The 13,693-nt window shown below is 42.0% G+C and overlaps 1 long non-coding RNA gene across 2 annotated transcripts in view, besides 1 other annotated feature; it reads left to right on the top strand.

Annotated features, from left to right (window-relative positions):
- Nucleotides 1-1,299: 1,299 nt before the first annotated feature.
- Nucleotides 1,300-13,693, top strand: part of LOC105377134 (uncharacterized) — a 62,187-nt gene continuing 49,793 nt past the window's right edge. For both annotated transcript variants that reach the window (NR_188592.1, NR_188593.1), the window contains exon 1: nt 1,300-1,465. This is a non-coding gene — a long non-coding RNA (uncharacterized LOC105377134). The remainder of the gene's footprint in view (nt 1,466-13,693) is intronic.
- Nucleotides 1,692-1,761: an enhancer, noted in NCBI's record as "active region_18266". NCBI's record gives its function as "activates an Ori minimal core promoter by ATAC-STARR-seq in GM12878 lymphoblastoid cells {active_cell/tissue: GM12878}" and the evidence as "EXISTENCE:reporter gene assay evidence [ECO:0000049][PMID:35858748]".

The raw sequence follows: 13,693 nt of genomic DNA on the forward strand, positions 1-13,693 counted from the left end.
TAGCAAAATAAGGAGTTTGACTTTTATCTATTCCCTCCACATCTGAACTCTGGAGGTCAAGGCTGTAAAGAGATCTGAAGACATGGTGTTCTCCCCTCCTGGGGCCCCATCATTTTTTGTTTACTGTTTGATATTTGAAAGGAAGAGAAACTCCCATCAAACAGCAACTGGGAGACAGTGGTCTCTACGTGACACTCTCTGCTTGCAGCCCCTGATCTCTCTAGGGGCACTGACCCTCCCACCCTTGAGCCTGAGGAGAAAAGTTAGTAGAGAGAGGCCAGTAGTTGGTAGGGAGAGAGCCCACTTCCAGCAGAAAAGAGGTGTTCAGGCCTTCACCTCCCTGAGATCGGAGCATCAGAGCCCTCATGGCTGCTGGTTTGAAGTAAAATGTGCTGCAAACATAAAATACACAGCGAGTTTAAAAGATTTAGATCCAAAATATTTATAATTATTTGTTGACCACACATGAAAAATAATATTTTGGGTATAATGGCTTAAACAGTATTACAAACAATTTCACTTGTTTCTTTTTATTATTACTATTATTTTTGAGATGGAGTCTTGCTCTGTCACCCAGGCTGCAGTGCAGTGGCACAAACTCAGCTCACTGCAACCTCCACCTCCTGGGTTCAAGCGATTCTCCTGCCTCAGCCTCCCAAGCAGCTGGGATTACAGGTGCCCACCACCATGCCCGGCTAATTTTTGTATTTTTAGTAGACAGGGATTCATTATGTTGGCCAGAGTGGTCTCGAACTTCTGACCTCTGTCCTCTCAGAGTGCTGGGATTACAGGCGTGAGCCACCATGTCCGGAGTCTTTTTATTACTATTTTTGATCTGGCTAATAAAACATTTAAAATTCACAATAGCTAACGTTTTATTTTTTAGAGGATTGCTTCTCTCTTAAAATCTTAGGTGTCCCACTCCAAAGACCGGCGGCCAGAAAGGTTATGAAATCTGAAATATTAAATAATTGTCATTATATTGCTTCCATTTGTGAACAACGTGTGTGTGTGTTTTATAAACGAACATAACCTTCATAACGTTATACACCACAATGCTAAAAAATGACCCCTGGTTAGAGCCAGGCGCAGCACAGACAGAAAGCCCTGCCTGAAAGTGACTGGAGCCAAGAGCCTGACACTCTCGGCTCATTCCGTACAGTGTATGGTAGCATCTTCTGACACGCAAGGCCTGAGGGCGCGGTGCCTGCACTACTATCCAATCAGGGCGCTGGGGTGGGAACTGTCCAATCAGGCGCGCAGCCAGGGAGGAAGGGGCGGCTTCCGGAATCTGGCGCGGCCTTTGTCTCACTTCAGCCAGAGAGCGGGGTTAGGGCTTCATTGCCTTGTGTCCTCTGCTCCGGGAGACTTCGGTGATTCTGCCACTCCCTCCGTCGCTCTGTGACCTGCTGGCATTGAATGATTTATAGCTAAGACTCCAGGACACCCCTGAAGCCGAGAAATGGTGAGTGTGGGGGGCAGGGCGTCCCGAGACTGGGGAGGGGACTCCTTGGAACCGGCTGGACATGGCGGTGACGGGACCTAGTCTGCGAGTCGAGTCCTCTGCAGCTCAGCCCTCAGTCCCCTCCGGTGCAGGGACTCCGGGCGTCCTGTCCTGTCCCTGCACGGCGGCTTTGGCCCCAGCCTGTAGCCCTCTTTGCGCAGCTCTGCGCCCGCAGCCCTGCATCTTCCCCAGGTTGTGAGGTGATGAGGCGAAAGTCATCGGAAAGACGCCGACTCGGTGTGCAGGGTTCCTGCGTGGAAGGAGCTGTGGTCCGTGGGGTCCCCCGTCCCTACCTTACCCTGTTCAGAATTAGACTGAGGCACCATTAAAACATAGACAGCTTATATGAGTAAACAGTGATTAATTAATGGGACAGCGCTCAGCAATGGTTTGTGGTTTGGGGGCTACTAGAAGGTCTTGAAAGAAAGGCTTGTATAAGGTGTGTGAGGAAGCAAAGACAATTAAATAATTGGGTACAGTTATGTAGTCGCTTTATTTGGAGTGTCTGGGTGGAAATTTCCTGGTTATGTAATCAGGGATTAATTGGAGGTTTGTAGTTGTTTAAGCTTGAATTTCGTTTCCTCCTAAGGTAGTAACTTAGAAAAAATGCATTTGAGTTAGGTTTCTTTTTTTACATAGAGGCCTAGACCACTAGAGCCACTTCAATCTAATTGACTGCTATGTAATTATTTTAACTTTAATCAAAGACACTGGTTTTCGCCTGCATTTTCCAAATGTGTGGCAAGCAGGGTCTCACATCCACTACTCTGTTCTGCCAGCCTAACCTGGCTTGAAGTAAAATCTTAAATTTCCGGTTTCTTGCTGACATTCCCCAAAGGCAACTTCTCCCCTCCCATACATTATCAACTATTTTTGTCCTTTATTGCACATTTCAGAAACAGTATTTTAATTAATCACTTTTTCACAGAGCAGTGGATGGCAATTTGTAAAATACTTGTTTTCTACTTACAAATATTTCACATGAGAAAAAAGCAGAAAATAATCCCCTGGCACTCAGCTGTAAAAAATCTTTCTGCTGTTTCTCCTTGTATCCTCCCTTAGCACAAACGCCCTTATTAGGACATCTTGGGATTGAGGTTTTCCTTGGGAAACTTTATGGGGCAATGTTTCCTTAGCCACATTCGGGCCTTTTTCTAGTCCTGAGTTTTAGAACTGTCTTGAGATGGCCCAAGATACAAACCAGAGCCATGTCTTTTGGGAGTTCTGGTGAATATCAGCCCTTTGGTAATCTTCCAGAGGACACAATGAGGGATGGGAGTACAGCTTCTCAAAGGAGCAGCTGAATGCCCTGGGGGTGAGAGAAATATCCAGGCTTACCCTTCCTGTAAAAAAAGAATCCCTTGGGATTTTTAAGATTTTTTTTTTTTTTTTTCCCCCAACCCCAGTTTGCATTCCATGGAAACACATTGCTTGTCAGCCAATCAGATGCTGGTATTCAGAGAAAAAGATAGACTATTCCTGTCTTCTGAATTGTCTTATATTTGCGAAGGGAGAGAAACTAACCTGAAGGACAAGAAAAACCCACCCCAGGGAGGCAGTGCAAGAACCTGCAAAGCAAAAAGCGGAGTGGGGCACAGTGCAGTGTCTCCTGGGAGGGTGGGCATTGAGCACTTCAGTGAGGAGTATGGGGGTGAGAGAAAGTCCCAAGGGATAAGGTGGCCTGATTTGACACTTGAGTCAGATGTCCCTGTTCCAGAAAGCACTGCCACTCCCTGAGTTTGTCCCCCTGTATAGATTTGCTCACTTATTTCAACTTCGGTTTTTTTAATTAACTGTAAATTGGATCTCAAAGGATAGGCAGAAAAGGGCTTTTAAAAAAAGTTGGAAAGAGCAAATCAGATTAGAAGGAAGGTGAGAGAGGGTGGGCAGAATGAAGGGTGGCAAAATCAGATTCTAAATCAGAGAGCGTTCAACCCTGAAGTCAGCTTTTTCTTAGGAGGTTAATAAAGAGAGATTGAATGTTGAATCAGGCTGAGAATAGGTCAAAGTTCAGGGATCTGAACAAATAGGCTTTTTTTTTTTTTTTTTTTTTACCATCGAAGATGAAATTGTTCAGCCAATTGTATATGAGAAAAAGATGGAAATGTGTGGTCCGTGTCTGACTCTGTGGTAGGTTTAGAAAAAAAGAAGAGAGAGTATTATTGAAGTCACAATGGGAAGGGTGTCTCTTTTCGTTAAGCTGATTTCGGAGAACAAAAAGCATGAGGAATTTTTTGTCACAGCTATTTAGCAGAATTACCTACCTGCCCCAGCTTTCACCACCACTTTTTCTTGCCCTATGCATCTCTGCCATGTGGCTGTTCCTGAGCTGTATCTTCAATAATAAACTGGTATATGTAAGTACAGTGCTTTGCTGAGTTCTGTGAATAGTTCTATCAAATTATTGAGCTTGAGGAGGGGAATGTGGAAGCCCTTGATTTGTAGGAAGTAGTTGAGAAATAAAGATAGGTATCCAGAGGCATGTGACTGGCATCGGCAGTGGGGACAGTGTTATGGGACTTAGCCTGAACTTGTGGGATCTATGCTGACTCCGGGCGGTGTTGGAATTGAGGTGTTGGACAGCTAGTTGGTGTTGGATAATTGGTTGGTGTTCAGCAAACTCCTTACGTTTTGTGTCAGAAGAAAGACATCACTGGGGCCTGGTCTACAAGGAGACTCCAGGTGTCTGAGGGAAGTGAGGCTTTGTTCTGCACACAGGCTTGTCGTCACCCTGTGCGTTGTCCTGTAATTCCAGGTCTCCTCCTACTGTGAGATGGAACGAGAGCTTAGAGTGAAGGAGCTCTGAGAACCTATTCCCTCCCCTGACCCTGCTGCCAGCCCCTACATGCTTCTAACCCACTCCTGAACATAACCACTAAAAATTGATCTGGCTACATTCCTCCCACGACAAAGTTTTACCCTCAGGAATTGTGCTCACAACAGCTTTCCTCCTAGAGATTTCTGCCGAGAACATACACAGGTGCCTAGAAGACTCCTGGCTTATCTAAACTGTAGACAATGAATCTCTATCGGGAACCTGTTTTTTTCACCAACCCAGGTTTCTTGGACTACCTGATCATAATCTCTTCTGATTGTGTGAACACAGGAATAAGTCAGAACATAGCGCTGCCTGAGCCTGTATCTGTAGCACAAACCAGTTCCTTAACCAATTCTGCCCTGCATCCCCACCCATAGTTCTTGATAGCATCTTTCTCTTTTCTGCTTTTTTCTTCCCCACAAATCCTCTTTCACGTGTACACAGTGTGCCCAAGGCCATCCCTCCAGTGCCTGAATCCAGTGCCTACTAGAAGTCAGATGTTAATGAGTTCAAGACCATGCCTTTAGACCCGGCTATTGTAGGAGCAAATACAAATTAGAAAGAAAAGGTTTAATGCTTTCTCTTTAAAATGAGGGAAGAATTTTTGCTCTTCTTTCTTTTCTTAAAGCATTTAGTTTGAAAACCTTTCTCTACTTCTTTGAAATATATGTAAATCATTTTTATCAGTTAAATAGGTCATTTGGTTGTGTGTGTGTGTGTGTGTGTGTGTGTGTGTGTGTGTGTGTATGTGTTTGACTCAGAATTGTCTTAATCTAGGACCTGGGAACTATTGCTTTGAAATGTAATTAGCAAGTTTATACACCCTATCCCACAGTTTCTGTAGGAGAGTAGAAGGCTGCCTTCAGCAGGTGTCTAACTCCACATTGCAACACTACCTCCTGTCATGAAGATGAGGGAAGTTTATTTTTCCTTTAAACATTACCAATTAGAAAACCCAGATGACAGCCCAAATTATAATAAGCTGTGTATGACAAATGGTACAGTTGAGTACTAATTATGTTGACCTTTCTCTGTTTGCAATCTCTTAGTATATTGCCTGTGATGCACATCACATTTTAGTTTAATTATATAACAAAACAGTTTTCTTGCTGTTCTGTTATGGTGGAGAGTTGTTGTTTGTTTTTTTGTTTTTTTTTTTTTTGAGAGAGAGACTCTCGCTCTGTCGCCCAGGCTGGAGTGCAGTGGTGTGATCTCGGCTCACTGCAAGCTCTGCCTCCCACGTTCATGCCATTCTCCTGGCTCAGCCTCCCGAGTAGCTGGGACTACAGGCGCCCACCACCACGCCCGGCTAATTGTTTTTTTGTATTTTTAGTAGAGACGGGGTTTCACCGTGTTCTCCAGGATGGTCTCGATCTCCTGACCTCGTGATCCGCCCGTCTCGGCCTCCCAAAGTGCTGGGATTACAGGCGTGAGCCACCGCGCCTGGCTGGTGGAGAGTTTTTTAGGGTCAGAAATGAGTTTGCTTTCAGTTATGTTTTCCACACTGTCCAGCATTACTACATGTTATACACAAGGTGCCCAACAGGCTTCACTTTAGAGAGAACTTTCTTTCTCAGGATTCCAGTCCCAACCCACAATTGTGCAGCAAAGTGCCCCCCAAATCTTCAAACAGAATGGTCTCTCTTTGGAATCTACAGTCCCTTCTAGAGCAGGGAGAGTAGATTTTTACAAAAATAACTTTTCAGGATAGCAGTCAAGTATTCCACCTCCGTTAGTGCTCCTGGCATCTTCACATCTGACACTGATTCAGAGATCATGGGGCACATAAACCCAATTAGGATCACACATGTGCATTAATTAAACCTGAAAAGTTCAACTCCCTCCCACCTCCCCTTGCCCAAATGCCCACACATGTGCCACCGCTCATCAGCCCTTCAAGACCTAAATGTGCAGCTCCAGATTTTGAATTTATGTCCTGGGATTTGAGAGAAGAAAAGGTGTTGAAGGAGCCTCCATGAGAAGATCTTTCCTCTGGTTTTACTCTGCTTGCTGTAACCCCCAAGAATGCAGAGGCACATTGATCCCACCTAGAATCTGCACATAAAAGCTGGCCTCTGCCTAGGATTCACAAGACAGGGCCAGACTTTGGGTTGAAGACATACAGAAAACTCACAGAAGACATTTTCTGCATCATAAGAGGTCAACATAGACATCTTAAGCATCAGTTTCAGAGTGGAGCCCTTTGAGTTTTCCAGATCTTGTCCAGTGACCTGCTGCAGCTCTGTGAGAGGCTTCTGGTGTCAACAGAATCCTGTAAGTTAAACAAGCACCTTAGCAGTGGGAGGTCAGAGCTACAAAATAACCAGAGCCATAATCACAACTGTGCCTCCTTGTAAACTGTTAGTGGAGTAGAGTATTTTTGTTCTTCCCCTTACCTCAGACTTAGCTGGACAGGGACGGGATATTACAGCTAGATTCGGGATCTGTCGCTCCACCAGAGCAGAACCATTTTCTATAATATTTGCACCCCACAAAGCCTGAGTGTCTCCTGTCTCAGGATCATTATGGAGGCATCAGCCCATAGTCACTGGGGACGCTCTCACCAGCACCTGTGAATTTTGGAGACATTTGAGGATGTCCTGTGCAAATTGGGGTCTGTCTGACTACAAGGTTTAATTCTGCCCCCATTTTAGAGGAAGAGAAATGGTTCAGCCAGGGTTTGTTCCTCCCCTCACAGAAATAATTTCCTTGATTTGTACCCAGATGGGAGTTGCTTCAGTTTTCTGGTTCTTTGGTGAAAAATGAGGAGATCTGGAGACTCAAACTGGTCAATAAGCTAATTGCTTCTATTTCATATGTCATTAGAAAAAGAGATGAAGCAGTCATGGTCCCTACCATGAAGGAACTTGCAATCTAGAGCACATGAATAAGTAGTTGAATTCAGCATCATGTGTTAAGCACAAAGACGGAAGGTGTAGAGGAGACTTAAGCTTCATTTGGGTCACATCCCTTGTTTTGAGTTTTGATGCCACCAACTGAAGGTCTATTCAAGGACAGAAGAGAAGTTATTATTTGTATTGTTTTTACCTTGCTAAGAATAAATATTTACCTTCTAATATAATTGCTCTAGGAAAACGTAAGGGTTTTGGTTAAATTCCTTCTTATCGTATGTTACAAAATAGGGAAGTGGCTAAAATAGATTAAAATTGCACAAACTCTGAAAATCAGATTTCTCTTGGTCAGGCTTAGAAAAGATAAAACTGAAAATTCTTAGCAGCATGGAGATCTGTCCCAACCCTGCGCAGATCCACCCTCTACTGCTAAACTTTCTCCAGGTCTGATCCCACACTGAAATCTCTCACAGAACTGCCTAGAGGAGATCAGAGTTTGGAGTGACTACCCCTACTGCCTCTCCACAGCTGGTGCTCACAATTTCCTGAAACCCAAAAGGAGATAAAAGGGGAAAAACTATATACTTTGGGGCCTTAAATTCTTTTTTAAAAAATTAGGCTGGGTGCGGTGGCTCATGCCTGTAATCCCAGCACTTTGGGAGGCCAAGGCGGGCAGATCACTTGAGGTCAGGAGTGCAAGACCAGCCTGGCCAACATGATGAAACCGCGGCTGTACTAAAAATACTAAAAATTAGCTGGGCGCAGTGGTGGGCACCCATAATCCCAGCTATTTGGGAGGTTGAGGCAGGAGAATTGCTTGGACCTGGGAGGTGGAGGTTGCAGTGAGCCGAGATTGCACCATTGCACTCCAGCCTGGGCAATAAGAGCGAAACTCAGTCTTAAAAAAAAAAAAAAATTAAAACCAGTGTTTCTAGAGACATCCCATCCAGCAACCTGTTCTCCATTCCTGCAGTTTCAATGATTTCTTCACAAGTCTCAAAGTAAATACAAACACTGAATTGCAGTTAACAGTTCCTTTCTATATCTCTCCATCTGTCTAAAATGAGCTATTATTCTATACATTTTATTTTAAAATCAATGATAGGAAAACAGAAGAAATAGAAATGGCAGGCCCTGCATTTAAATCCTGGGAAGTGTGGGACAATTAGTACCCACCTCTGCAGAAACCTGTTATGAGAATTAACACATAATGTGAGCTTCCCAGCACAGTGCTCTGTGACATACTCCTGAGCACATAGTACATGCTCCATAAACATTGCATTAATGCTTGTGCACATGTTTTTCAACTGCAGACTTATTCAGACATTGCCATTATCTCCAGCCTGTGTAAACTATGTAAAAGGGCCTGCAGAGAATGCCAAGTTTCAGGCTGATGATTGGTGGTCTTTTCTTTGGATGAAGGATATGTGTGTTGTGATAAGGGTGTTGGGATAAGGGATTCTGTGAAAATTTCTGAAGCTTTTATGAGGAAAAAATCCGTGCCTGCAATATTTATAATTTAGTTTAATCATTAAAAAATACTTGTTCATCAAATAATGAGTATACAAATTAACTTAAATCCACTTAGATGCTCACATAGGATGAAAGAAACTTTCAGTATAGTTATATTCATGACAATAAATACTTTGGTGTTCAGCTTCCTGAAAGCCACCTTACACTGCACGGAGTTAAATTTAGTGCTTGCAATCCTTGCCACTGAAAGATCCAAGGACCAGCAGCATCAACATTACCAGGGAGTTTGATAGATTCGCACAGTCCCAAATACTGCACCAGAATTATGGACTCAGAATCTCCATTTTGACAGGATCCCCAGGCTGTGTCTATGCATAATGGTGTTTGTGAGGCTAGGAGCTGGTGTCAGATCTGGTAGTGCAAGGCACCTTCCTCCTCCTTGAATATTTATAGCTAAATGGTCAGTTTCTCTAAACCAGCATATAGGTAGGGCAAAGAAGCATTTTGGATGATAGCTACAATTGAGTGAAATGTTAAACACATGTGATTATATTAAATAATTATATCCAAGTCTCTTACTCAGCAATTTAATTCTTAGTGGCATTTTATCTTGCAAACATTTGCCACACGTTAGTATGTGATTTGTTTACACCTGTCTCACTTGAATATTTGGTAAAACATTACTTTTACTCTAATCCTGTTGAAGTAATAGAAGGAAATCTATTTTCATGTACTCACTCATTGAATAAGCATTTAATGAGCAGAAAGGTCAATTAAGAGTCTGTTACATTCTTGCTGGCAAAAGATGGCAAGGGCCAAAGGTGGGGCCAGAAGTTCTCGAGCTTTTAGATGGAGTCAGCTTCATACCCAGGCAGGAGGGCAAGGGTACAGAGAATCCACAGAATCTGAAGGCTCCTACATACTTTATCTACAATGTTCTTCATGTCATTCCACTTTGCGTACAATATTGCAATTATTGCTTTAAATGAACAAATTTCTAAGATATCCTCGTCTATCCATTCATTACACTGTAAAAAATGAATTAAATCCTTTATTATACAAGCATCTTAGACAGAAATCAAATGTAATTCATCGCACATGCTGTCAGCTAATTAAAGTATTTGTACCACAGATTCCTCAGCCTTTTATATAAACTTGGAGGAGCACTGGGGTCTTATTCCAGGAGAAAAGCAAATGAATCTGCATTTTCCTCTTATTTAATTTATGCCACAATAACAGTAGCTTCAGTGCAGAGCTGCAGCTTCAAGCTTTACATTTACCCTGGAAGGTAAATGTGCACCTTCCGAAAACTGCCTGCAAGTAAAAAGAAGGAAATTACACGTTAAAAAATTTTTAAATTGGGAAGAACTGGTTTTTCCTCCTCCTGCTACATTCAGAGTTCTGTCTTAAGTATCATTCCCCCTCACCTTGCTATTTACTTTTCTCCTGATCTCAGCCCAGTGGGAACTGAGATACTGGAGAAAGTCTATTTTTTCCCTAGTTTTACAGTGTGACAGAAGAAAGTTTAAGTGATAGGCAAATGAAGGAAATGCAAGTCCTCAATATTCAGAACTAATTTACCAGGTTCTTGGCATGCTGAGAAACTCACTAGGTTTGTGGTCTTTTTGTGAATAAGAGCACATTTTCACCTAGGACTGGCAGGTGGTCACAGCTCAGCTAAAGAGAGTCCCATTAGACAGCTCATTCTGCTGTCATGTAACTAAGTGATTTTTTTCCCTGAAAGTTTATGTACTATATTCTATATAGAACACTATATAGAACATTTGCGCCTCATGCAGGGAACTGTTATTGTGGCATAAATTAAATTTAGCATTTTGACTTAAAAATTATTGGGCAAGTACTGTGTGCAGGATGCTCCTAAGTAATTGGCAGTGGCTATAAATACTTTAAGCAATTTTTCCAACCCTATGCTGGGAAGAATTCCTGCCACAACATATCATAAAGGTAGTAAGGGCAGTAAAGAGCCCTAGAAGCTCAGTGTTGAAAGAAACATCTACCGGTTATCTAGTGCAGCTACCTTCTGATGCTTAAATTCGCTTCTGCAATAGAAGGGTTGAATGCTAGTTTAGTCTCTGCTTGACTGTCTGTGGGGACAGGGAGCTCTCCACTTGATGAAAGATCTTTAGACCTCTGAGACACCTTAGTATGTTTGTGTTCTCACCCCCTTATTTCATGGTATATCCTTTGGTTTAACATAACAAGTCGATTCCCTCTCCCACATTAGGTCCTTTTACATACTTTAAGATACTTATTTTTAATTTTCATGACATTTCTCTTATAGCTTAAAAATCCCAGGCTATTTATTATTATTATATTATTTTTCTCATATATAACATGGCTTCCAAGTCTTAACTTACCTGGTCATTTTTCACTAGATGCTAAGTTGTCTCTTTTCATCTTAAAGAGAGATTCTTAACACAGCATCATTCTCAGGCATGGCCAGACCTGTAGGGAAGAAGGTAGAACTTACTCTTTATCCCACTTTAAATATTCTGCTTTTATAAATAGAGCCCCCATTTTTATTAATTATTGAATCTGGTTGGATTGCCACATAATGTCTTTTCATACTGCTTTGCAATACTTCAGACATACTTGTATGGAATCTGAACATTAATGTTTCCCATCAGGATGAAAGAATAAAGGGACTAAGATAGTACACTCTTGAATTACAAGCTAAGTCTTTGTATTAGTCTTTTTTCATGCTGCTAATAAAGACATACCCGAGACTGGGAAGAAAAATAGGTTGAATGGATTCACAGTTTCACATGCTGGGGAGGCCTCACAATCACGGCAGAAGGCAAAAGGCACTTCTCACATGGCAGAGGCAAGAGAGAATGAGAGAGAAGCAAAAGTGGAAACCCCTTATAAAACCATCAGATTTTGTGAGACTGATTCACTACCACGAGAACAGTATGCGGGAAGTCGCCCCGGTGATTCAGTTATCTCCCACAACACGTGGGAACTATGGAAGTACAATTCAAGATGAGATTTGGGTGGGGACACAGAGCCAAATCATATCAGTCTTAATTTGAATCTGAAGCTTGCCCAGCATTTTCTCACGTCACCTTAATTTGCAAAAGTGGAGCTTGGGTGAAATGAGGAATGAAAGTAAGAGAGAAAGAGAAGGAGGTCATATTGAGTGTAAAAAATGTGGCAATATAATACAGGAGAAAAAATGTTTGCTGTGGAATATTAGGGGAAAAATAACACAACAAATGAGTTCTAGTCCGTGAGCTCTCATTTGTCAACCCTGTTGATTTTGGGAAACATAGATAAGTTATCTGATCTTTAATTTTGTGATTTTTGAAGTGAAAAACACTATAATATTGCATAAATATAATGGAAATAATCAAATGAGATATTAGGTGAAAGCATTTATCTTATATTCATGTGTAATGCACACGTTCTTTCTTCCTTTCTCATCCTTGCAGTCGCATTCTCTTCCTTTTACGTCTTTCATTCCATTTAGGTGTCAAAACCACAAGTCTGGGAAAGGAATAATATGTAAGAGCAAAGATGCCTACTAGGTGGGCACATAGAGAGCTCCTGGTGGGACAGGGACTGCAAGAGAAGAGCCACTGCTTGGAGAGATTTCTCAAAAACTCTGCCTTATGTAAATGAATTTCAACAGCAAAGTGATGACATATCCACACATTTAAATAAAATCCTTCCCCTTTCCCTGGCAGTTAATATATTGAAATATTGTATCATGTTTATCAAAGGAAAACACCACCAAAGACCTGCTTTTTATTCTTGGCAGGTGTCCCTAATCCAGAATGACACTCTTCCCACTGACCTGGACAGGCTTTCTGGTATCAAGTCCCCCTTCCAGGTAGCCATTAACAACTATTCCAAGTTGGCATTAGAGACTAAACTAGATGGTCATAATTGGTCCTGTCTAAAATGAGAGCCATGGGGAATGCCCAATTATGATTGGCTGTTTCCTTCCATGTTTGTGTGTGTGTGTGGGTGTCCTGATGAGGTGGTTCTCCAGATACTTGTATCTGGTATCCAGATTTTCTCTGCTTCTCCACAGCAAGAAATGATGTAGGGCATCTCTAGGCTTGTCTTTTGCCCCTAATCCAGACTCATGGGTCTCGGGGATTAAGGGTCCTCCACCAATTCATAAGACCTTCACCTATTCTCCTTGTTACCATCATCACAAAACTTCTGTTTCTGATTGCTCCTGCTCCTCTCCCATATTTTTATTTGTCTTAGAGAAGAAAATACTTGAATTAATTTAGGTTAGTTTTTTTTCTGAGTTGTTGGTACGGTCTTCCTTGACCTTAATGTTTTTATTCCATGTTGTTATATGTACTCTGTTGGGCTCTCAAGAATCTTTTTATTATGCAATCTCTAAAAGTAACCTAAGAAGTAAATTTTTATTTGATTGACAATGAAAATAAATGTCTCTGCAGTATGCAATTATGACACATAGATTAGTTTTGAGAAAGTATTTGGTTGGTATATTTAATGTTGGACAGTGCTTCTTTAACAAGTGTATTAAACCACTCCAACAAAACTTGGTAAGAGAAAGAGTCTCCTTCAGTTTCCTTCCTGGAACTTAAGCTCATCACGGTAGGATACCCAGAATAGAAGGAAAATTGGCACTTTTTCATTGCTTGACTGGTCTGTCTTACATCTATCCTGATGCTGGCTTCAGGCAGAAAATCTCTCTGTTACTAGCTTTGAAATTTTCACAAGATATTGCAGTAATATTTAGTGATGAAGTAGGGCATTCTAAAGAATATCAGTAAGGGGTTTTCTTCTTCCTCATAGCACCCATAAGACCTTCTCTACTCCCCCACATACAAAATTTGTACCTCAGTTTTCCACATGTGGGTGCCTGGAATCTTTCTCCTATCTCCTGCTGATGTGCCCCATTAGCCAAACCCACACAGAAGCCAGAGAGGCATAGGAGAAACCTGGTGATGTAACCCAAACAGGCAGCCCTCCCAGGTGGAGAACATTTTGGAGATAGGTAGAAAGTGAATCTATAGGATCAAATTGAAAATATGTGACACA

This window comes from Homo sapiens, chromosome 21 (genome assembly GCF_000001405.40).
Source record: "Homo sapiens chromosome 21, GRCh38.p14 Primary Assembly".
In the NCBI taxonomy this organism is placed as follows: domain Eukaryota; kingdom Metazoa; phylum Chordata; class Mammalia; order Primates; family Hominidae; genus Homo; species Homo sapiens.